General features: G+C 45.1%; 2 long non-coding RNA genes across 2 annotated transcripts, besides 1 other annotated feature; one reads left to right on the plus strand and one right to left on the minus strand.

Moving 5' to 3' along the window:
• Window positions 4,587-5,393: an enhancer, noted in NCBI's record as "OCT4-NANOG-H3K27ac-H3K4me1 hESC enhancer chr7:67480192-67480998 (GRCh37/hg19 assembly coordinates)". NCBI's record gives its function as "activates a minimal SCP1, AML or CMV promoter by ChIP-STARR-seq in naive H9 embryonic stem cells {active_cell/tissue: H9 hESC(naive)}" and the evidence as "EXISTENCE:reporter gene assay evidence [ECO:0000049][PMID:30033119]".
• On the minus strand, window positions 7,029-10,732 carry LOC107986741 (uncharacterized). Its single transcript, XR_001745022.3, has 3 exons — window positions 10,702-10,732; window positions 8,391-8,618; window positions 7,029-7,440 (listed from the first exon to the last, which is right to left on the minus strand). It is a non-coding gene; the product is annotated as an uncharacterized LOC107986741 (long non-coding RNA).
• Window positions 9,635-22,072, plus strand: LOC102723427 (uncharacterized). The gene is made up of 6 exons (NR_120514.1): window positions 9,635-9,722; window positions 12,994-13,042; window positions 13,878-13,947; window positions 15,525-15,598; window positions 20,946-21,074; window positions 21,973-22,072. It is a non-coding gene; the product is annotated as an uncharacterized LOC102723427 (long non-coding RNA).
• Window positions 22,073-24,642: the final 2,570 nt, after the last annotated feature.

Raw genomic sequence — 24,642 nt, forward strand, 5'->3', positions numbered from 1 at the left:
AGCTTAACTTTGAGACCTGCTGTAGCCATAATATTGAACAAATTATTGTTTCCCTTCTGTCTTGAGGGGAAGCAGTTCTCAACTGCGGAGAATACAGAATTAGAATATGCAATCTCTGTTTCTTTGAACTGTCTTAATGGAGACACAGCATAAGCTGATGGAAAGAGAACTTGATGAGAAAGTCAAAAAACATGGAATTTAGGCTGTCTATGGTGGCTCATGCCTTAATCCCAGCCCTTTGGGACCCAGAGGCGAGTGGATGGCTTGAGCTCAGGACTTCAAGACCAGCCTGGGGCAACATGGCAAGACCCCATCTCTACCAAAAATACAAAAAAGAAAAGAGCCGGGCATGGTGGTGTGAACCCATGGTCCCAGCTGCTAGGGAGGCTGAGGTGGGAGGATCACTTGAGTCTGGAAGGTAGAGGCTGCGGTGAGCTAAGATCACACCACTGCACTTCAGTCTGGGAGACAGAGCAAGACCCTGTCTCAAACAAACAAACAAACAAACACCCCAGCAACAACAAAAAACAAAACCTGGATTTTTAATTCCAATTCTTACCTGTCTAGTCTGTTTTGTAACCTGGTGTTCTCATATTCCTATGACCTCTGATGTCTTATTTGAAAAGTCTTATCTGGAGGTCTGAGTCAATGCATGAACTATTGATGAATCCAGTATAGATAGCGCTCTGTTTTCTGTTATAGGTATACTGCCAATGTTTGTTGTTGTTGTTATTGATGTTGTTTTGTGTGTGGATTTTTTTTACACTTGTTGGCTTTAACTGGCTCTGATTTTGTCTTATAAAAGAAATAAAATTACCTGGTCCTCCAGTGGCTAAGATTTAAAAAAAGAAAGGAAGAGAGAAAGAAAGCAAGCAAGAAAGGAACAAAACAATAGAGAAAAAGACAAGAAGGTCAGTGTGGGTGTGAAGTAGGAGAAGGAAGAAAAAGAAAAAATGGCAAGTGAGTCAGAGAAATTGATTTGTAAGCTTAGCAGGCAGAGCTAGGAAGGAAAAGAAAAGGAAGAGGAAGAATCAGAAATGTGTGTATATGAATAGAAAGCTATGTTTGAGTGAAATCAACTGAGCGTGATGGGTGTAATAAAGCCACATAGTGAAGGGTGAAGATGGCTGGTTGATGAAAAGCGAAGTGAATAAGGGAGGAACATTTCATCTGAGAGTAACTAAAGGAGATGGAAGAAGAAAAACACTGGGTTATAGGGATCATTGCCTCTGCTCAATGTCCTTGCTCATGTATTAGTCAGAACAAGCACCAAGCTGCTGTAACAAAGAATCCCAAAATTACCATTACATAAAGAAGAGAGAAATTGATTGTTCTCTCAAGTAACAGACAGGAGTTAGCAGGTGGTGGAGGTGTGCGGGGAGCTCTGCTCCAGGAAGTTGTAGGATCTTTGGTTCCTTCTCTCCTGGGCTCTAGAGTCCCCTGAAATGTCATTCTCATCAGAACGGCCAAGTCTAGATGACCATGGTCCAGTCTCTGGAAGGCGAGAGTCTGTGAAGGACAACAGTTTCTTTTTAAGGTGGCGACGTAGCACCTCTGCTCACATTTCATTGGTGAGAATTTAGTAACACAGCCCTAGGGAAGGCTGGAAAATGTGGTCTGACATTGGGCAGCCATGGTTCCTGCTGATTTAATGTTTTAAAATTTCTATGGCTCCCCAAGCATGGGTAGCTCATGCCTGTAATCTCAGCACTTTGAAAGGCTGAGGTGAGAGGATCACTTGAGCCCAGGGGTATGATACCAGCCTGGGCAATGTAGTGAGATGTCATGCATACTAAAAAAAAAAATTAGCTGGGTGTGGTGGCGAGTGCCTGTGGTCCCAGCTCTAGGGAGGCTGAAGCAGGAGGACTGCTGGAGCCTGGGAGGTCAAAGCCACAGTGAGCCATGATTACACCACTGTACTCCAGCCTGGGCAACAGAGTGAGACTGTGTCTCAACAAAAGAAGGGAAAGAAAGCTTATATTACTCAAAGAAGAAGGGGAGAATGGATTAAGAATGATTTGTGATCATGGCTCTCTGTGGCTTCAACCTCCCAGGCTCCAGCAATCCTCCTGCCCCAGCCTCCCTAGTAGCTGGGACTTGCCGCCATACCCAGCTAATTTTTTTTTTCTTTTAGTATGCATGACATCTCAGTATGCTGCCCAGGCTGGCATCATACTCCTGGGGTCAAACGATCCTCCCACCTCAGCCTCCCAAAGTGCTGGGATTACAGGCATGAGCCACTCGTGCTTGGAGAGTCATAGAAATTTTAGATTATAGCAGGAATCATGGCTACCCAATGCCAGACCACATTTTCCAGCCTTTCCTGGGGCTGTGTTACTAACAGGGAAGGGGGCGATTAGTCTCTGATTCAGACCAATTCTGCTTATCTTAGTCAAGATATATTATAGCCAATAAGGCCAGGAGTGACCTTCGGAAGGCATTCATTTATAGATGGGGAGGTATGAGTCTAGCTATAGTGAGAACACATCCACATATTCATATGCAGAGAGGGCAATCGAATGATTTAGAAAGCTGTCATGTATTTATTGCCTCATGTGTGAAAGGCACTGGCTGAGAGCTTAGGTAAGTATTTTGTGTATGTCTTATTAATATCATACTATTATTTTCTTTTTTCCTTTCCTTTTTTTTTGAGATGGAGTCTCGCTCTGTTGCCCAGGCTGGAGTGCAGTAGTGCCATCTCAGCTCACTGCAACCTCTGCTTGCTGGGTTCAAGAGATTCTCCTGCCTCAGACTCCCAGTAGCTGGGATTACAGGCATGTACCACCACATCTGGCTAATTTTTTTTGAATTTTTAGTAGAGGCAGGGTTTCACCATGTTGGCCAGGCTGGTCTCGAACCCCTGACCTCAAATGATTCGTCCGCCTTGGCCTCCCAAAGTGCTGAGATTACAGGCGTGAGCCACCGTGCCCAGCCACATACTATTTTCATTAAGTGAGGTTCAGCAAAACGATCTTTGGATCACACAGCAAGTACTTTGCAGCACTCAGCGGGCCTGCGCTGGGACCCAATAGAGCACCCCTATTCATAATCTGGCTGCACTGCCTACAATAGCCCTATGGGATAGGAATTTTTTTTTTTTTTTTTTTTGAGAGGGAGTCTCGCTCTGTCGCCCAGGCTGGAGTGCAGTGGTGCGATCTCGGCGCACTGCAAGCTCCGCCTCCCGGGTTCACGCCATTCTCCTGCCTCAGCCTCCCGAGTAGCTGGGACTGCAGGCGCCCGCACCCATGCCCGGCTAATTTTTTGTATTTTTAGTAGAGACAGGGTTTCACAGTGTTAGCCAGGATGGTCTCGATCTCCTGACCTTGTGATCCGCCTGCCTCAGCCTCCCAAAGTGCTGGGATCCCAGGCGTGAGCCACCGCAGCCGGCCGGTATAGGGATTGTTAACATCTCCATTTTACATGAGCAGAATAAGGATCTGAATGGCTAATTAACTTGCTCAAGGTCATACTCCCAATACGTGGCAGTGATGGGATTTGCACCTGGCACACAGGTGTAGCACTCATCCCCCTCACCCATTGGCTGTGCTACCACCTGGGGCAGCTCCACTGTGGTCACTGAAGGCCTCCAAGGGGTGGAAGGTTTAAAATTAGGTCTTGCATCACATTTAGCTAGCGGCCAGGTGTTAGGTCTTGGGCAGCTCCGCCCTCTGCCTAAAGGGTTCACAGGTGGAAACACGCAGGGCATATTTCAGACAGCAACTAATTCCAATCTGTTATTAATAAAAACAGTTCAAAAAACATTTGGCAACAGACCACAGGATCCGGTGCTATTTATGAGAAGCGTTTAATGGGAGAAAGCTCAGCTGCAGCAGATGGATGTCGACGGGGCCTCTCCAGAGTGTCTCACTCTGTTTTCCTTTGTCTTTGAATAAATTCGAGGGTGCCATGTGCTAGCCTGGATGGATGGTTTTGAACCACAGCTCACTAAAAGCAGGCGCTTCCCTGAAGCTTAACTATAAAGGGGAAGTGGAATTACCCAGGCAATTCCCTCTTAGTTTGGGCTGATTCCTCCTGGAACAGAAAGGCCTTTGGCCAACAAGCAAATGTAGCTACTAACCCCTTAGGTATCGAGCCAGTGTTGGAAATGAGACACACAGCCTCTTTATCCCACTATCCCCATGTTGGTTATTAAGAGCCCTGCCCTTTGTTTTTTTTTTTTTTTTTTTTTTTTTTTGAGATGGAGTTTCACTCTTGTTGCCCAGGCTGGAGTGCAATGGCGCGATCTTGGCTCACTGCAACTCCGCCTCCTGGGTTCAAGTGATTCTCCTGCCTCAGCCTCCCGAGTAGCTGGGATTACAGTCATGCACCACCATGCCCGACTAATTTTATATTTTTAGTAGAGATGGGGTTTCTCCATGTTGGTCAGGCTGGTCTTGAACTGCCGACCTCAAGTGATCCACCCACCTCAGCCTCCCAAAGTGCTGCGATTACAGGCATGAGCCACTGCGCCTTGGTTTTGATGTGGCTGTGCCACACCAAGTGTCTAGGTGCTTCCTTTCCTGGCCTTGACCCTTAGCATCAGTGGAGAAGGGTCAAGTCCAAGACCACAGGATCCTCCATGGGATCAGTGACTTTCCAATTCAGACCACACCTGCTTCATGGGGTCAGTGACTCCCCACTTCACACCACACTTGTCTGCAGCTGATTTCTTATGAATGGCCCTGGACCTCCAGGAAGATACAGACCTGTAATGACAAGCCTTTTAGGACCTGGGAAGTCCTCTGGGAAATGCATCTTTTTTTTTTTTTTTTTTTAAATTTTAATTCTTGTAGATGAAGCTAGCAGCTTCTTAGCACCTTACTTTTGCATATGAAAGGCCTGGTAATTACTACTTTCATCCTTAAAGCATGCAAGTGACATGCAAAATTAGCACTTGAGAAGATGCACTTTTAGACCTTGTTGTAAAGCAAAACTTATTATTTGAAGATAAATCAATTTCTGTTGCCTGTATTTGTGGTTTTCCCCCAGATGGCTAATTACCAAAGATAAATGTGTATAAACACAAGCCTTATTCCTCTCCATCCATCTTCCCTGCCTGCCTGTTTATCCAGAGGTTAATAATCGCAATCCTGTAGTGTATTGCCATAGTAATGGCTTTGATGGGCCCGGCGAGTTTATGACCTTTTGTTACAAGCAGAAGGACATGCATTTCAAGAAAGGAAGGTCATTTCAGAGATGAATGTGCAGATAACTAGCCTCTCTGAAACTGAGCCAATAGGAAAAAGAAAACAGAAAACAAAATAAAAAGAAGGGGGAGAGAAAAACCCACACACAACTGCACAAAACAAACAGCATAAATGTCACGGAAATCGGTTCACAGTAAAATTAAATAAGGTTCCTGCAAGCATTAATTTTCATATTTCCTGTTTATGCACTGTTAAAATTATTCCCTGGCCTTGATTTATGAGGCAGTAAGACCATGGCCCATCACTCAGCCACTAACCAAATTCATTTAAGGACTGGAACATCCATTCAGATAGAACTAACTTCCTCTGTGGTCAAAAGGGCAAGTGGTAAGTGATGTGTTTCTGGAGAGAAGCTTAGGACATCTGTACAAGGACTGAGGTTTAGATCGTCTTCCTTCCCTTCCTTTCCTTTCCTTCCTTTCCCTCCCTCCCTTCCTTCCTTTTTTCCTTCCTTTCTTCCTATTCCCCTTCCTCTCTCTCTTCCTCCCTTCCTCCCTCCATCTTTCCTTTCGTCCTTCTTTCTCTCCCTCTTCCCTCCCTCCATCCATCCTTCCTTTCTCCTTCCTTCCTTCTTTCCTTCCTTCCTATTCCCCTTCCTCCCTCTCTCCCTCCCTTTCTCCCTCCATCCTTCCTTTCCTCTTTCTTCCTCTCCCTCTTCCCTCCCATTCATCCTTCCTTCCTTCATTCCTTACTTCCTTCCATTTTTTCCTTCCTTTCTTCATTTTTCCCTCCCTCCCTCTCTCCCTCCCTCCTTCTGTCCTTCTTTCCCTGCTAATTATAAAGTGATACATACTCAATAGAACAACAAACAACACAAAGGAGTTAAAATCTGCGCCAATCTCCCACCCAACTTTTGGAGATAAACAGTGCTAAGAAATGACTAATTAAACATAGAGCTCTGATATGTCTAAGACATTGTTCTAAGCTGTTTACAAACACTAATTCATGTTATCCTCATAAAAGCCCCACAGAGGTATCACTGTCCCTATTTTACAGGTGAGAAAATAGAAACTCAGAGAAGTAACCCCTTCGAAATCACATAGGCAGTAACAGAAAGAGGAGGGCATCAGACCCCTGTCTGCCGGCCTCCTGGGCTGTGTGCTGTGATGACATACTGAATCTAAGGCCAGAACCACCAGTGCCCTCTAAAGCCAGGCACTTTATTGTGCTGGCAAAGTGTTGAAGGACCTTAAATGACATTGAAGACGCAATATTCTGACCACTATGGTGCTGAAAACCCTGGATTGTGTCAAAGGAAAGTTGTATCAGACAGACTTAAACAGACAAGAATGACTTTATTGGAGAATGCTGCAATAGGGAAGAGAGAGTGAGTCCAACTCTAAATACAGATGCCACTCATTAAGAGGCAAACACATGTACTTTTTTTTTTTTGAGACGGAGTCTCTCTCTGTTGCCCAGGCTGGAGTGCGGTGGTGCAATCTCGGCTCACTGCAAGCTCTGCCTCCCGGGTTCACGTCATTCTCCTGCCTCAGCCTCCTGAGTAGCTGGGACTGCAGGCACCCGCCACCACGACTGGCTAATTTTTTTTTTGTATTTTTAGTAGAGACGGGGTTTCACCATGTTAGCCAGGATGTTCTCGATCTGCTGACCTTGTGATCTGCCTGCCTTGGCCTTCCAAAGTTCTGGGATTACAGGTGTGAGCCACCGCTCCAGGCCCACATGTACTTTTAAAGTGGTACGATTGTATAGAGCTGAATTGTCATGTTGTAGGTTATACGACGCCAAAGGAGCCCAAGATCAGAATGCAGGGTGAGATTCTTGAAGAGAAACATCCAAAGCTTTCCCGCCTCTAAGTTCTGCTTTGCTTGTTAATTGCTCTCTTTATTATAGGGTGGTGCTTGTATGGTGACATGGGTACAAAATAGGAATAGAATATTTTGTTTTTCCCAGTTGTCTATTGCTATGTAACCAACCATCCCAAAACTTAGCTGTTGAAACAATAACATTTATTTTGCTTACAAATGTATTACGTGTGCAGGGTTTAGGAGGGACAGCTTATTTCTTCTCCACTTGGTGTCCCCCAGGGCAGCTGAAAGTTTGAGGACTGGCATTATCCAAAGGTTCCCTCTCTTACCAGCTAATAGCTGATGATGGCTGTTAGAACTTACCTGGGTCTTACCTGGGCTGTGGGCTGAACACCTAGACCATGGCCTCTACCTATGGTCCAGGCTTCCTCCAAACATGGTGGCTGGGCTTCAAAGATACATTTATCCTGGAAAGAGAAAAAGCCAGGTAGAAACTGTATTGTTTCTTGGAATCCAGCCTGGGAAGAAGCCGCATAGAGTCACCTCTGCTGCATTTTATTTTTTAGGCATACACAGCCTGTATTCAAGGGGAGGGATATTCCATTTGGGAATATCCCTTTGGATAAGATGACTTTTTTTTTTGAGACAGAGTTTCGCTCTCGTTGCCCAGGCTGGAGCTCAATGGCATGATCTCAGATCACTGCAACCTCAGCCTCCCGGGTTGAAGCGATTCTTCTGCCTCAGCCTCCCAAGTAGCTGGGATTACAGGCACCCGCCACCACACCCAGCTAATTTTTCTATTTTTAGTAGAGACAGGGTTTCACCATGTTGGCCAGGCTGATCTCGAACTCCTGGCCTCAGGTGATCCACCTGCCTTGGCCTCTCAAAGTGCTGGGATTGCAGGCATGAGCCACCGCGCCTGGCCGAGATGCCTATTAAACACTTTGCAGACATATTTTAAAACCACCACAAGCATGATCTGTAGAAATCTGTGAATGTTTCCTCCTCTGATTTGGGCTGAAGATGGTGCATTGTCTATTCCCAGGTTTCCAAAGGGCATCAGAGTCATAAGAATAATTCCTGCGGCCAGGCGTGGTGGCTAACACCTGTAATCCCAGCACTTTGGGAGGCCAAGGCAGTCAGATCACGAGGTTAAGAGTTCAAGACCAGCCTGGCCAACATAGTGAAGCCCCGTCTCTACTGCAAATACAAAAAATTAGCAGGACGTGGTGGCAGGGACCTGTAATCCCAGCTACTCGGGAGGCAGAGGCAGGAGAATTGCTTGAACCCAGGAGGCGGTAGTTACAGTGAGCCGAGATCGTGCCATTGCACCCCAGCCTGGGCGACAATGCAAGCCTCCATCTCAAAATAAATAAAAAATAAATAAATAAATAAATAATAAAATAAAGAATGATACCTGACTGAGTGCTGAGTGCAAGCTGGACTGGTCTTTGCCTACATTGGGTGACCCTGAGTGGTAGGGAGTTTCCAAGCATGAAGTGGAGATCCTGGGTACCTCTGTGTTTAGCTCCTGATGCTGCCAAGCATGGACACAGAGGGAAATTCAGCTCCTCCACCCCCTTCTCTGCTGGTCCTGAAAATGAGCCAAAGGCTCTTCTTGATTGAACGGTTTTGCAGTCAGTCACTACAAGAATCAGAGAAGACATAAGTAGCATGGGCTGAGTGTGGTGGCTCACGCCTGTAATCCCAGCACTTTGGGAGGTGGAGGCAGGCAGATGGCTTGAGTCCAGGAGTTTGAGACCAAACTGGGTGACATAGCAAGACTCCATCTCTACACATTTTTTTTTTCTTTTTAATTAGCCAGGTGTGGTGGCACACACCTGTAGTCCCAGCACTCTGAGAGGCCAAGGTAGGAAGATCACTTGAGCCCAGGAGTTTGAGACCAACTCGGGTGACATAGCAAGACCCCATCTCTACAAAACATTTTTAAAAATCTAGCTGGGCACGGTAACATGCACCTGTAGTCCCAACTATTCAGAATGCTGAGATGGGAGGACTGCTTGAACCCCAGAGTTCAAGGCTGCAATGAGCTATGATTACGCCACTGCACTACACCCTGGATGACAGAGCAAGACCCTGTCATAAGAAAAAAAAAAAAAATTCAGGCACACTGGCTTATGTCTGTAATCCCAGCCACTTTGGGAGGCTGAGGTGGGCTGAGCACCTGAGGTCAGGAGTTCGAGACCAACCTTGCCAACATGGCGAAACTCTGTCTCTACTAAAAAAAATAAATAAATAAATAGAAAAATTAGCCGAGCATGATGGTGGGTGCCTATAGTCCCAGCTACTTGGGAGGCTGAGGCAGGAGAATCGCTTGAACCCAGGAGGCGAAGATTGCAGTGAGCCAAGATCACACCACCGCACTCCAGCCTGGTCAACAGAGCAAGACTCCGTCACACACACAAAACAAAAAAAGAAAGAAAGAATGAAAAAAGAGAGAAAGAAAGGAAAAAGAAAGAAAGAGAGAAAGAGAGAGAGAAAGAAAGAAAGAGAGAGAGAGAAAGAAAGAAATAACACATACACACACGTAGGGACGGACAGTCCAGAGGCTCTAGAGTTTTTGCTGACTGAGTGCTCTAGAGTGCTGACTGAACAGTGGATTGTTGTTACTGATTCCCTTCTAGGTGGTGAAAAGTGACAGCTGCTCTGTGCAGTTACGATGCTGCACTGCCACAGTAACCTTCTCCCTCTGTGGTGATCCAATATTCTACCATATGTCAGCAAAACTGTAAGTGCACACCTTATCTTTCTTAGAACACTCAAAGCATGCCCCACCCAGGAAAGCAGGCCTGTACCCTCAGGACATTTTCTCACAAAGGTGCCTTACTCTCTGCCTGAAATTTCACTGCTAAAGCTCCATTTCCTTGGCCTTTAAGGACTTCTCAGTATTCAAGGGTCTCCTCTTAAAGAAGTGCTGGAATAGGCCGGACATGGTGGTTCACGCCTATAATCACAGCACTTTGAGAGGCTGAGGCGGGCGGATCACTTGATTGAGGTCAGCAGTTCAAGACCAGCCTGGCCAAGACGGTGAAACCCCGTCTCTACTAAAAATACAAAAATTAGCTGGACGTGGTGACGTGTGCCTGTAATCCCAGTTCCTCAGGAGGCTGAGGCACAAGAATTGCTTGAATCTGGGAGGTGGAGGTTGCAGTGAGCTGAGATTGCATCATTGCACTCTGGCCTGGGCAACAGAGCAAGATTCTATCTCAAAAAACAAGCAAGCAAACAAACAAACAAACAAACAAACAAGAAGTGCTGGAACAGGGCCTATTCCCTGGAGCCTGGGCACAGTGGCTCACACTTATTATCCCAGTGCTTTGGGAGGCCAAGGTGGGAGGATTATTTGAGGCCACGAGTTTGAGACCAGCCTGGGCAGCCTAGCAAGATCCCATCTCTACAGAATAATATAAAAAATATATATAGCCAAGCACAGTGGCACATGCCTGGAATAGGGCCCATCTTAAACCCTCAGCAGCTAAAAAAATTGGAGTTCAACCAGAAGAGGGCAAGGCCTGGGACCAAATGCACCATGAGCAGGTTAGAGGAACTGACCATGGCAAAGCATTTTTTTTTTTAGAGACAGGATCTTGCTCTGTCATCCAGGGTGGAGTGCAGTGGCCTTGTATTAGTCAGAGTTCTCTAAAGGGACAGAACTAATAGGATATATGTATACATGAGAGGGAATTTATTAAGAAGAATTGACTCACACAATTACAAGGTAAAGTCCCACGACAGGCTGTCTGCAAGTTGAGGAGCAAAGACAGTGGTGGATCAGTCCAAGTTCCAAAACCTCAAAAGTAGGGAAGCCGACAGCAGCGCAGCCTTCAGTCTGTGGCTGAAAGGCCCAAGAGCCCCGGGCAAATCACTGCTGTAAGTCCAAGAGTTCCAAAGCTGAAGAACATGGAGTCTGACGTTCAAGGGCAGGAAGCATCCAGCATGGAAGAAAGATGAAGTCCGGAAGACTCAGCGAGTCTGCTTTATTCTAGCTGCACTGACAGTTGTTTAGATGGTGCCCATGCACATTGAGGGTGGTCTGCCTCTCGCAGTCCACTGACTCAAATGTTACTCCCCTTTGGCAAGACCCTCATAGACACACCCAGGAACAATACTTGGCATCCTTCAATGCAATCAAGTTGACACTCAATATTCATCATCACAGGCCCGATCACAGCTCTCTCCAAAGCACCAGAGAGACCTGCCATGGTGGTAGGGGGCTCCCAGAGACCGGTGGTCCTTACCACCCTTCTCCTCTGCTTCTCTTTGACTCTCAGCACAAATGCAGAGGCAGTGGTTGGATCATGTTGCAGCTCTTGCCAGCTCTTACACCCGAGTGGGAAGCCTGAGAAATCTTGGTTCTCATCTGTCAGTAAGGAGCATGTTCTCACCTGCTCTGCGGGGCTCAGTATCCCAAAGTCTTGGTTTGTCCTGTGCAATTTTTGGGCAGGCAGGGTGGCTTTGAGCTTTTCTGAGAGATTTCAGCTTCCTGTGGCTCCCAAACCCATGTACGTCCTGCCTGGGCTGGAGCCTGGACACCCACAGACCCACAGAGCTGCACTCTCTCCACGCCTAGCGAAGCATGTCACTCCCATCCCCACGGCTAGGCCTGATCCTCATCAGTGCCCTCTCAGACCTTAGTCCTGGCTCCAGCGTCTCTTCTTGGAGCCAAAGCCATGACCTGCCTCTTGACTCTCCATTCAGCCCAGAGTTTTAACTCTGTACCCCTAACCACTGACTGGCTTTGGGTTTCCAATCTTTAATCTGAGCCTTTGCAACTTTTATTATTATTATATTTTGAGATGGAGTTTCACTCTTTTTGCCCAGGCTGGAGTTCAATGGCACGATCTCGGCTCACTGCAGCCTCCGCCTCCCGGGTTCAAGTGATTCTCCTGCCTCAGCCTCCCATGTAGCTGGGATTACAGGCATGTATCACCATGCCTGGCTAATTTTTATATTTTTAGTAAAGACGGGGTTTCACCACGTTGCCCAGGCTGGTCTCGAACTCCTGACCTCAGGTGATCTGCCAGCCTCGGCTTCCCAAAGTGCTGGGATTATAGGCGTGAGCCACCGCGCTCAGCCAGCAACTTTTGTTACTGTCAATGCCTTAAAACTCATCTGTCAGCCTGCACTCACCAGGTCGGTGCCCCTTGGATATACATACGAGCAGAATTGTATCTGAATTCTTCTCTGTGTCTCAGTTTACTCATCTGAAAAATGAAGAAATAATAGTATCTATCTTATAGGATTGTCATGGGGAATAAATGACTTCATGCATGCAAAGTACTTATTTTGTTGTTGTTGTTGAGAGAAGGTCTCACTTTGTCACCCAGGCTGGAGTGCAGTGGTGCAATCATAGCTCACTTCAGCCTTGAACTCCTGATCTCAAGCCATCCTCCCACCTCAGCCTCCTGAGTACCTAGGACTAGAGGCATGCACCACCACACCTTGCTAGTTTTTTAAAAATTATTTTGTAGAGATGGGGTTTTGCTTTGCTGCCCAGGCTGGTCTGAAATTCCTGGCCTCAAGCGAACCTTCCACCTCAGCCTCCCAAAGTGCTGGGATTACAGTCGTGAGCCACCTTGCCCAGCCTGTAGGGGTACTAAATACAGTATCTGATGTATAGAAAATGCTTGATGGCCAGGCGTGATGGCTCACACCTATAATCCCAGCACTTTGGGAGGCTGAGGCTGGTGGATCACCTGAGGTCAGGAGTTCGAGACCAGTCTGATTAACATGGTGAAACCCTGTCTATACTAAAAATACAAAAATTAGCCAGGCCTAGTGGTGGGCACCTGTAGTCCCAGCTACTCGGGAGGCTGAAGCAGGAGAATTGCTTGAACCCAGGAGGTGGAGGTTGCAGTGAGCCAAGATGGCGCCATTGCACTCTAGCCTGGGCAACAGAGTGAGACTCCATCTAAAAAAAAAAAAAATAAATAAAGAAAGTGCCTGATAATGTTAGATATTATGATTACTACAATGACTGGTGGTATTGCTCTCTCCAGATTCCAGCCCGGCCCTTTCAACTCTCCCGAATCTAAGCCAACAGTCAAGGTGAATTTCCTGTTTGCTCCCAGCAGCTCTCCCTCCTGAGTTCCTTTCCTTCATCCCTGAGTTTGCATCGCTGGTGGGTGCCTGCAGGTCTCCAGGCTGTGCTGACTCAGATTTCAAATGGGGCTGGGGCACAGTGGTTCATGCCTGTAATCCCAGCACTTTGGGAGGCCAAGGTGGGCGGATCATTTGTGGTCAGGAGTTCGAGACCAGCCTGACCAACGTGGTGAAACCCTGTCTCTACTAAAAATATAAAAATTAGCTGGGCATGGTGGTGGGTGCCTGTAATCCCAGCTACATGGGAAGCTGAGACAGGAGAATTGCTTGAACCTGGGAGGCGGAGGTTGCAGTGAGCCGAGATCGTGCCACTGCACTCCAGTCTGGATGACAGAGTGAGACTCTATCTCAAAAAAAAACAAGATTTCAAATAGACAGAGGCCTGGTGTCCCCATGACACCCACTAGCTCCTCCCTACTCTAGAGGAGCTGGGGATGCTTTGGGATCTCTCAGAAGGGCAGCCCTGAGCTCATGTGAGGATGATATACTAGGTAGGATGGTAGAAGTGACATTGCAAATGAGGGAAATTAACTGTTCCAACCAGAGCTGGAATCTAAAGATGGAGATGACAGGAAGTCCTGTGAATGTATGGTCCTGACCACAGGCCTGCCAGAAATCAGCCTCGGCTGGAAAATTGAGCTGTGATTATTACAAAGAGTCAGAATGATGGCTTCAGTCATGATGCTTCGTTTCATAAAGAGCAGCCCAAACAATGTCGACATTAAGTATTTAGAGAGAGAAGGATGGTTTGTAAAGGAGCGTCTTCTTATTCCCTGAAAAGGTACTATGAAGACGTCAGGCGTATGGAAATAACAGATGGGAAAGGCGAGCAGAGATCATTACTCTGAACTGTAAGTGCCATTATTGACAAGCACAACCCACATCGCTGAGCAAATAGATGTGCCTGAGAGTAGGAGGGAGATGCATGAAGAAAAGGAAGCATAAGCCGGATATTTCCCAATATTGGGGGTTGAAGAGAAATTGCATTAGGATGCTAGCATTCTTCAAAGTTAAAAAAATAAAAAGGTTTGAGCTGGAATGTGAGCAAGGAAGATCCCCTCAGCAGTTAATTAATAGGCTAATTTATTTTTCATTTCTATATGACATATTTGTTCTCAGTGTTAGGGGGATCACTCTGAAAATCTGATGAAAATGGTGCCTTCTTTTTCTTTATTATTATTATTGTTATTTTTTGAGACAGAGTCTTGCTCTATTGCCCAGGCTGGAGTGCAGTGGTACGGTCTTGGCTCACTGCAACATCTGCCTCCCAGGTTCAAGCGATTCTCCTTTGTCAGCCTCCCTAGTAGCTGGGATTACAGGTGGGCACAACCACACCCAGCTAATTTTTGTATTTTTAGTAAAGACAACGTTTCACCATGTTGGCCAGGCTGGTCTCGAACTCCTGACCTCAGGTGATCCAATGGCCTTGGCCACCCAAAATGCTGGGATTAAAGGCATGAGTCACCATGCCCAGCCAGTGCCTTCCTTTTCTAAAAATGTCTTTATGAATACATGATCAATTTTTCATTTGCTTGTTTTTATTTTAGATTCAAACACATGCAGGTTTGTTACATGAGTATGCTGCAAATTGTGAGGTTTGGATTTCTATCAAGCCCATCGCCCAAATAGCAAACATAGTACCCAATAGGTAGGTTTTCAGCCCTAGCCACTCTCCTTCTTTCTCTCTTTTTGGATACCACTGCCACCTCCCCAGAGCTACCCCATGTTGACCATTGGATGCATTGGATGCAGGCTGTCTTGGGAAGAGAGTGTGGCTTTGAATAAAGCAGTTCACTTCAGCTGAGGGCAAGTTCTGGAGATGGAGCAGCTGAGGGAATGGGTGCCTCTGTCCAGGAGCTGAAGTTCTGGGTAGCACATGACAGTGTCCACTACACCATGGAGCCCTGCTTTGAAGAAGCACCTGTGCCTCTTGTGCTCTATGGAACATGCTTTGGGAATGCTGCCTATAAGACTGCAGTTTAGAGATAAGCAATCTGTAATTGGAAGCTATGGGTCTAATTGTATTTATCCATCCAGAGCATCTAGTATAGCAAACTGTGATACTACATGAGCCTACCTAGTTTAGGCACTTTGGGCAAGTTTAGGCACAATTTAGGCACAATCTGTAAGGCAAGCTTAGAATATCTGCCTATAGTATCTAGAAATAAATGATGTTGAGTGTCTTACAGTGTAATGCAGACTTAAGCTAGTTAGTGGTGGAACTGAGACTTGGAGAGGTGCCTGGCTCTCAGGTCAGTTTTGTTCCATTGCACCCACAAGCCCTTGGTTCTGGAGACAGAGATGTGAAGAAATTATACTGAGGAATACCTTCACCAAAAGGGCAGCCAACCTTATGATTTGGACATTCTATTTTGAGACCAGTTAAAAGAGAGAAATTTCAATTCATTTCTCATTTGTCATTCACCAGGTCTTGGATGTCCCTGGGCAATGCTAAGCTAACATTCAGCAGTGTCTACAAGATGACACACAACATGTTGAAAGGTAGGCATTAAAGACCTTTGACGGCATTGGAAGAGGGTAATAACAGCCTCCCAAGAGTGATAAGAGCAGGAACAAATGTGAACTGAAGATCAAACATCAGCCAGCTACATAAGACAAGACTGAAATGGGATGCCAGGCAGCCTCCGGGGGAAGAGGCGATAGGCAGGATCAGTGTTCTGAAACAGGAACATGACTGATCTCCAAAATAAACAGATGGACAGATCACAGCCTAATTTAGATACTACCTTAAGGTCACTGCCACTGAGGTTTTGATTTTTCTTCTATAAGTAGTTCACAGCTTTGCCAGAATATAAATAGAGTACATTGAGGCAAAGCTTAAAAGGACCTAAAAGAAGGTATAGCCCAATGTCTTTATTTTCTTTATCAGCACACCAAAGCCCAGAATAGTTTATTGATTTGCCTAAGGTGACACAGCAAATTAGTAACAACACAAGAAGAGAAACCAGGTCTTTATAAAAATTTTTTTAACAAAATTATTCATTTATAGACATTGAACATTTCATGTGCATGGTCCCTGGGTTTAAACCCAATAGACTGTGGAGTTGATTGGGGTACAGTGCTTGATTTGAGGAAGTTCTCAATCAACTAAGCAAAGAGATCCATCAACAAATAATAAGAGGACAGGCTGGGTGCGGTGGCTCACACCTGTAATCCCAGCACTTCGGGAGGCCGAGGCAGGCAGATCATCTGAGGTCAGGAGTTTGAGACCAGCCTGGCCAACATGGTGAAACCATGTCTCTACTAAAAATACAAAATTGGCTGGGTGTGGTGGCACGCACCTGTAATCCCAGCTACCCCAGAGGCTGAGGCAGGAGAATCGCTTGAACCCAGGAGCAGAGGTTGCAGTGAGCTGAGACTGTGCCACTGCACTCCAGCCTGGGCAACAAAGTGAGATTCCAATTCAAATAAATAAATAATAAGAGGACAGACTAGAAAGTATGCCTTGAGAGCATTTTCACAATGCTAAATGATATGATATATACAAAGTGTGGAAAGCCCTGACTAATCCTGAGATGCTTAGAAAATTGGTAGAAGTGGCTGGGCATGGTGGCTCACGCCTGTAATCCCAGCACTTTGGGAGGGCGAGGCGGGCAGATCACGAGGTCGGGAGATCGAGACCATCCTGGCTAACACAGTGAAACCCCATTTCTGCTAAAAATACAAAAATTAGCCAGGCAGGGTGGCACGCGCCTGTAAGCCCAGCTACTCAGGAGGCTGAGGCAGGGGAATCGTTTGAACCCAAGAGGCAGAGGTTGCAGTGAGCTGAGATTGTGCCACTGCACTCCAGCCTTGGCGACAGAGCGAGACTCCATCTCAAAAAAAAAAAAAAAAAAAGAAACAAAGAAAAGAAAATCTGTAGAAATGCTGTGCTTGTATGATTCTGGAAAGAGAGTTAGTGTCTTTAATTTTCAGCCTCAATTCTGTCAATTGTCCAGAATCAGTTCTGAATAGGCAAGAGGGTGTGTTAACTGTTTTAGGTTCAAAGCAGTTAGGGTCTGGATTGCCTCTGTCAGCATTGGGTCCAGTGTTCCACATGCCTGGCCACCCAGTACAGCCAAACAGCTCAGTATAAAGAAATAGATTTGGCCGGATGCAGTGATTCATACTTGTAATCCCAGCACTTTGGGAGTCCAAGGCGGGAGGATCACTTGAGCTCCAGAGTTCGAGACCAGCCTGGGCAGCCTAGTGAAACCCCATCTCTAGAAAAAATACAAAAATTAACTGGGCATGGTGGTGCATGCCGGTAGTCACAGCTACTTGGGAGGCTGAGGTGGGAGGATTGCCTGAGCCTGGGAGGTCAAGTCTGCAATGAGTTGTGATAGTGCCACTGCACTCCAGCCTGGGTGACAGAGTGAGACTGACCCTGTCTCAAAATAAAATAAAATAAAAAATTTAAAAAAATGGATTAGAAGAAGAGAAGGGAGTCTCACAGTACCCTTTGCAGGAAGTACCCCCAGGTCTCTGTCTTTATACCTCTGCTCTCTCTCCCCCTGCATTTCAGAATATGATATGGGCATCTCTTAGAGTATCTGTCTCATGATCCTGCTATCTTTGTCCTGATTTTTTTTTTTTTTTTGGTGGCTTATTTGTCATCATGCATATGTTCCAGTCAAGTCAGCTATAACTTCTGGGATTATGTGACCATGGAGCTCTGGTGTCTACAGCTGTTTGGGCTATGTATAGGTTCTCTGATTCTTCAGAAAGAGAAGTTAAATTCATTTGGCACAATTAGATCAGCTTCCCACCCCTCTTCCCATCAACTGTGGTCAGGGCGGCAGTCAACTACTATAGTTAAAAACCCATAGGCTTTCTCTACCATCAATGGCTGTGAGAGGCATTAGTCCTGGAGTGTCAACGGCTTGAGTAGGTACTCTAAACATGTCTAATGATCGTCAACTCCCAAACATGCCTTCTTCTCTGTCATTCAGATTTGGGGAGATTCAGCCTCAGTTCTTCCATTTCCCTTCCTTCTTTCCTTCTTTCCTTCCTTCCTTCCTTCCTTCCTTCCTTCCTTCCTTCCTTCCTTCCTTCCTTCCTTCCTTTCTTCCTTCCTCCCTCCCTCCCTTCCCTCCGTCCCTCCCTCCCTCCTTCCTTCCTTCTTTCTTTCCTTCTTTCTTACTTCTTTCCTATTTTTTTTTTTAGATGAAGTCTCACTCTGTCACCCAGTCAGTGGAACGATCTCGGTTCGCTGCAACCTCCGCCTCCTGGGTTCAAGCGATTCTCATGCCTCAGTCTCCCAAGTAGCTGGGATTACAGGTGGCTTGCTTGCTTTCTTTCTCTTTCTTTCTTTCTTTCTTTCTTTCTTTCTTTCTTTCTTTCTTTCTTTCTTTCTTTCTTTCTTTTTTCTTTCTTTCTCTCTCTCTCTTCCTTCCTTTCTTTCTTTTTCTTTCTTTCTTTCTTTCTTTCTTTCTTTCTTTCTTTCTTCCTTCCTTCTTTCCTTCCTTCCTTCCTTCCTTCCTTCCTTCCTTCCTTCCTTTCTTTCTTTCTTTCTTTCTTTCTTTCTTTCTTTCTTTCTTTCTTTCTTTCTCTTTCTTTCTCTTTCTTCCTTTCTTTTTCTTTCTTTCTTTCTTCCCTTCCTTCCTTCCTTCCTTCCTTTTCTTTCTTTCTTTTTTCTATTTTTTATTTTTTTTGAGACAGAGTCTTGCTCTGTCACCCAGGCTGGAGTCAGTAGCATGATCTTGGCTCACTGCAATCTCCACTTCCCGGGTGGGTTCAAGCAATTCTCATGCCTCAGCCTCCTGAGTAGTTGGGATTGCAGGTGCCTGGCACCACACCTGGCTAATTTTTGTATTTTTAGTAGAGATGGAGTTTTGCCATATTGGCCAGGCTGGTCTTGAGCTCTTGACCTCAAGTGATCCGCCTGCCTTGGCCTCCCAAAGTGCTGAGATTACAGGCATGAGCCACTGTTCCCGGCAGTTTTTCCATTTTCAACTAAGCTCTCCACCACAGTGGTGTTAGGCTTCATTGATTATCCAGTATAATCCTGCTCATGCTGCCTTAGCAAAATATTACAGACTAGATGGCTTCAATGACAGAAATTCATTTTATCACAGTTATGGAGGCTGAAAGTCCCAGATCAAGGTGCCAGCAGGTTTGGTTTCTAGTGAGGTCTCTCTTGCTGGCTTTTAAACAGCTGCCTTCTGACTGTGGCCTTCCCTCTGTGTGCATGTTCTACTGGTGTCTCCTCTGCTTCTAAGGGCACTATGCCTCTTGGTTAGGGCCACACCCTTGAGACCTCATTTATCTTTAATTACCTCCTGTAAGGTCCTATTTCCAAATACCATCACACTGGGGATTAGGGCTTCCAAACATGAATTCTAGGGGGATGTGGTTCAGTCCATAGCACACAGCAATCCTCTTCTAACTGGGAACCCTCCCAGAGGCAGGAGTTCCTTGGCTGGGATCTTACCTCATTGTCCTAGGCAAGTTGCTGCTAATGGGGTCACAACAACCATGTGACAGCTTTGGTCAATACTAAAATAGGCAAAAAAGAAATTTCATTGGGATAGGCAAAAACATTAATTAGGCAAAAAATGTTAGGATGGTAGCTATCTTTTGGAGGGAGGACCAGAAGAGTAATGAGGCTTCTGAGAAGCTATTTTTTTGATCTGAGTGCTGGTTGCATGGCTGTGTTCAGTTTGTGAAAATTCATCAACCTGTATAATTATGACATGTGTCTTCTGTGTGAGTGTTTGTTCTAGTCACCCAGTAATGGGTAACAAATCACTGCAAAACATGGTGGCTTAAAGCAACATTAACTTTTCTCATGAATCTGCAATTTGGGCAGAGCCTGGCAGGGATAACTTGTGTTCACTACATTCATCATCAGCTGGGGCCGCTGGAAGGCTGGGGGCTAGGATTATGTGAGGCTTTCTCACTTCCATGTCTTCCAATTGATGCTGGTTAAAATTGAATTGAAATGGTGCTAGCTTTGGGTGAAACTTTAGTTGGGGCTTTTGCCTGGAACACCTACATGAGGCCTCCTCATGTGGTCTGGGCTTCCCCACAACATGGCGACTGGTTTTTAAAGATGAGCATGGAGAGTCAGGTGGAAGCCATATTGTCTTTTATGACCTTGTCTCCAAGCTGTGTAGTGTCACTAGCCCTGAATTTTGTTCATCAAGACAGCCACAAACGCCCATCCAATTTCAAAGTGAGGAAAAAATTTACTCTATCTCTGGCTGGGGATTGGCAAAATTCTGAAAGACTACTGGGGACCAGATATATTGCTGTGGCAAATTTTGGAAAAAAAAATACATCATGCTGTAATGTTGTACTTTAATAAAATATTTAAAATTGTAAGTACAATAAAATTGCAGAAAAATATAGTGGATTGTTTGGAAGAAACAAGTGGAGACAAATGACAAACCAGGCCAAAATCAAAAAGTCTAAAATCATATCACATCTCTTTATCCACTCTTGATCTTCTAAAAGCCTCCAACATTGTAAAAATCTTTGACATGTAACCATCTTACATGGAGTAAAATAGTAAACAAAAAGCCCTCAGCAACCCATATTGTGGCAGTAGGCAGGTTATTACATGGGGCTGGTTGAGACTTGTGTATTTTTTTTCCAGTCATTTGGAATCATAGTAGAAAAAGAGAACATTATCTACAAAATAAGAGGCTGTAGTGTCCAGGAAATGGAGCATGAAAAGGATTTTGCTCTGATGTAGAGATTAGAAAGAACAGCCCATGTGAATTAGTAAATGGCAGGCAAATACAGTATATTCAAGTGTAACTTCAGTGCAATTTCAAAGGATTTGTTACATGAAGAACTAGAAATTCTCCAAAGCAATATTAAATACTGATTTTTTTTTTTCCAGAATGGAGCGGTGATTCCCTTGGAAGGATGTGAAAAGCTTTCCAATCTCGAGGTGATATCAGAGCTCTTTCCCATTGAAACACTTGGATGCTCTTTCTCCAGCTATCATGCTCTCTTTTTTCCACTCAAGGTGATGCCTAAATGAACGTGTGTCCACCCTTACCCCATGACATCATCCAAAAGCCAATCCATCCATCTGTGCATTCAGGCTTAATACTGATGACGCTCCATCTCCATTTTCAGAAACTTTCTTGGCTCCTTTTTGCTCAATTTTTGGCTTTTTCTGGGCTCCAGGCATGCATCATTGCACCTTCTGACTCTCCATTTTGTTATGCATGATCTGCCCTACTCCACGCCTTGAACTTGGGGGCAGACTTAGTTCTTCCATTTTGTGTCTCTGAGAAATGGATTTCTTTTTCTTTTTCTTTTCTTTTCTTTTTTTTTTTTTTTGAGATGGAGTCTTGCTCTGTCATCAGGCTGGAGTGCAGTGGCACAATCTCTGCTCACTGCAACCTCTGCCACCCAGGTTCAAGTGATTCTCCTGCCTCAGCCTACCAAGTAGCTGCGACTACAGGTGCCCAACGCTACGCCCAGCTAATTTTTGTATTTTTAGTAGAGATGGGGTTTCACCATGTTGGTCAGGATGGTCTCAATCTCTTGACCTCATGATCTGCCCGCCTCGGCCTCCCAAAGTGCTGGGATTACAGCCATGAGCCACCGCACCTGTCCAAGAAATGGATTTCTTTTGCCCCATGATTTTGTATCCTTGGCCGCTTTAAATAATTCTATCGACACAAGGGCTGGTACTTGGATCCCATCCTTAACATTCATCTGAAAGGTCTACAACCCTAACATGAGACAGCAGGACCATCTGGGGTTACAACTTGCTCAGACTGGTTATGAATAGGGTGTGCATTCTGGCTCAAGCAGTGTGGAAGCCACTCAGGATAACCACACTGCTGACATCTTCATAGGCACCTCATCATAACAAAATTTTAAAATTTAAATATAATTTTAATGATTTTCAGAAAAGAAGAGAATGCAGGTTCCCACAGATACTGCAAGCCCCCTCAAGCTTAGGCAGTGGCCCTAACTTAGATCTCTCTTCCTTCTAGATCAACACAGCTGGTAAGTTAGGTCTCAGCTCATGTAACACTTTCACTTCAACATCCCTAGGGCACAGTTTCTGGGTTCTCAGCTAATATTTGTTAAATGAATGAAAAACTGTCTGTGTATCTCTTTTATCATCAAGTGATTCAGACCCCAAAGTTTTATACCCTCAGAAAAAAAGTCAAGCGTTGCCAAAATGGATTTATATTTGCACTGTATTTTTCATTCCAATGGCAGCTCAAAGTACCATTTGGTGCTGTAAGCATGAATGAAAATTGTGCAGGGCTTCTCACGGGCAGAATAATAAGTCACATCAGCTCTCCATCCAGACTGTATCCATCTGGGTCCTTCATCCTCATCTCCCAATAGCATCTACTCTTCTTACTCTGAAAAAGATGACAGCTATATTTGTGGTTCAGTTGAGTGAATTAGAGATAATTTCCCCTTTCTCTACACCAGCTGTTTTCTTAAGATCAAGAGGGTGGTAAATTCTCATTGTGTTCTCTTCTCAGCACAAGAGCACCCAACCTCAGGATTAGTCTCTTCTGTTTAAGAAGAGCAATCATTTGCCACTTGACTTTTCACTTCCTTCTGTCAGAGGGGGTCAGTATTTTTTAAGCAACTGCGTGTCAATTGCTTCCCTGTCAGCATTTCATCATTACTAGGCTGACCTCTCTTTAAAGAGCCTTTCTACTTCAAAAACATAGAGATGTATTTGAGAATGGGGTGAAGAAAGGCCATTGGAGGGATATATAATAAGGCATCATTAATGAATGCCAGTTAAAAAATCTAACACACATTTTTATCTTTGAGTTCTTAGGGAAACTTTGAAAAGTTACATTTGAATAAACAGCCCTTGGAAAGGAGCACAATTTAATTAATTCCTTAGACGTTTATTGTGAGCCTACAAAGGGTAAGACCCTGTCTGTCTTGATCCTGTCTTGCTCAGCAATGGAGGGTTCATAACGGCACCTGCCTGGTTGGAGAGAGGTTTAAGCAGATGACAAGGAGGAAGTGCCTGGTGCAGGATAAGGCCTCAGGAATGGCCCAGGTTGTCCCTGCTTGGAGCTTCAGGTAGATTACAATCTAGCAAAGAGGCAAAACAAAGCAAAACAACAACAAAGATTTTGTCCTAAGGCAAACACATTTTGCCTTAAGACAAAATATTGGAAAATGCCATATGTCTTTTGTCTAAGGTCAAACCATGCCTTATGGGAGGGCAAAGGTAAGGGAGGTTGTACTAATCTGCTCTCACACTGCTAATAAGACATACCCGAGACTGGGTAATTTATAAAGGGAAGAGGCTTAATGGACTCACAGTTCCATGTGGCTGGGGAGGCCTTGCAAACATGGCAGAAGATGAACGAAGAGCAAAGGTACTTCTTACATGGTGGTGGGCAAGAGCACATGTGCAGGGGAACTCCCCTTTATAAAACCATCAGGTCTCATCAGACTTATTCACTGTCATGAGAACAGCACAGGAATGACCCGTCCCCATGATTCAATTATGTCCCACTGGGTCCCTCCCACAACATGTGGGAATTATGGGAGCTACAATTCAAGATGAGATTTGGGTGGGGACACAGACAAACCATATCACAGGTTATCTGTGCATCAGAGATTCTCCTCATGGCCAAGGTTATATTTGCTCTAGGTGTTGAAGAATAGGTAGAATTTCCATATGCGTGGATGTGAGTAGGATATTCTAGACTATAAACAAAAAGTAGGGGTTTCAACCAGTGCCAACTGATACTTTATACTGCCTGGGCATGCCAGGAAAGGTGGAAGTCAATGCATTCCAAGGACTGAGGGGTTCCTGGGTGGTCTTTTATCTTAAGAGGTGAAGGAATGAGACATGGCGAGCCCTAACCATCCAGTTGGAGTCATGATGAGATCACAACTGCATAACTAGAAAGATTGGTCTGCAGGACCTATAAGAGATATTGAGGGGAGAGACTTAGGGTTGGGAAGGTGTAAGGAGGACATTGAGAAAGTTCAGGTCAGGGGTCATTATGTCTTTGACTAGGGCTGTAACCAAGGAACTTGAACGTATGAAATAGTGGCTGTAGAACTTGCATGTAGGAGGTACTTGGGGCTGGCAATTGGCTTGGAGGGATGCCTAGAAGACTTGGCTTGAAATGGGTGTGCAGAGCCAGATCAGGGCTCTAACTCAGATTCAACATCTTGGTTATTTACAGAAGCTGTGTATGTGTATGGCAGGGAGTGCTCATGGAGAGATAATGAGAGGTAGAGTAAATTACCCCCAAGATACACTTTTAGCATTTTCACTAGAAAAGAGGGTGGAGATGAGTTTGAAATCAAAATCGTTATCACCTTCAATGTCTTAATTAGGTTTCAGACTTCTCTTTCTTCCCTTGTAAAATGAGAAGAATCTAATGGATTTTATGCAATGTTACTTTAAACATTATGAATCTATGGATTTCATGCTTGTTTCCCTTGAGAGTCTGTCAATTCTGTGGTTTGATTTGTAAGAGTAGATCTTGCCAATTTTTGTCATTTTCATGGTTGCTACCAGAGGCTTCAGGAAGCCAGAGGATGGTTGTAGCTGTAGTTTTGAGGTGGTTTTG

This window comes from Homo sapiens, chromosome 7, assembly GCF_000001405.40.
Source record: "Homo sapiens chromosome 7, GRCh38.p14 Primary Assembly".
In the NCBI taxonomy this organism is placed as follows: domain Eukaryota; kingdom Metazoa; phylum Chordata; class Mammalia; order Primates; family Hominidae; genus Homo; species Homo sapiens.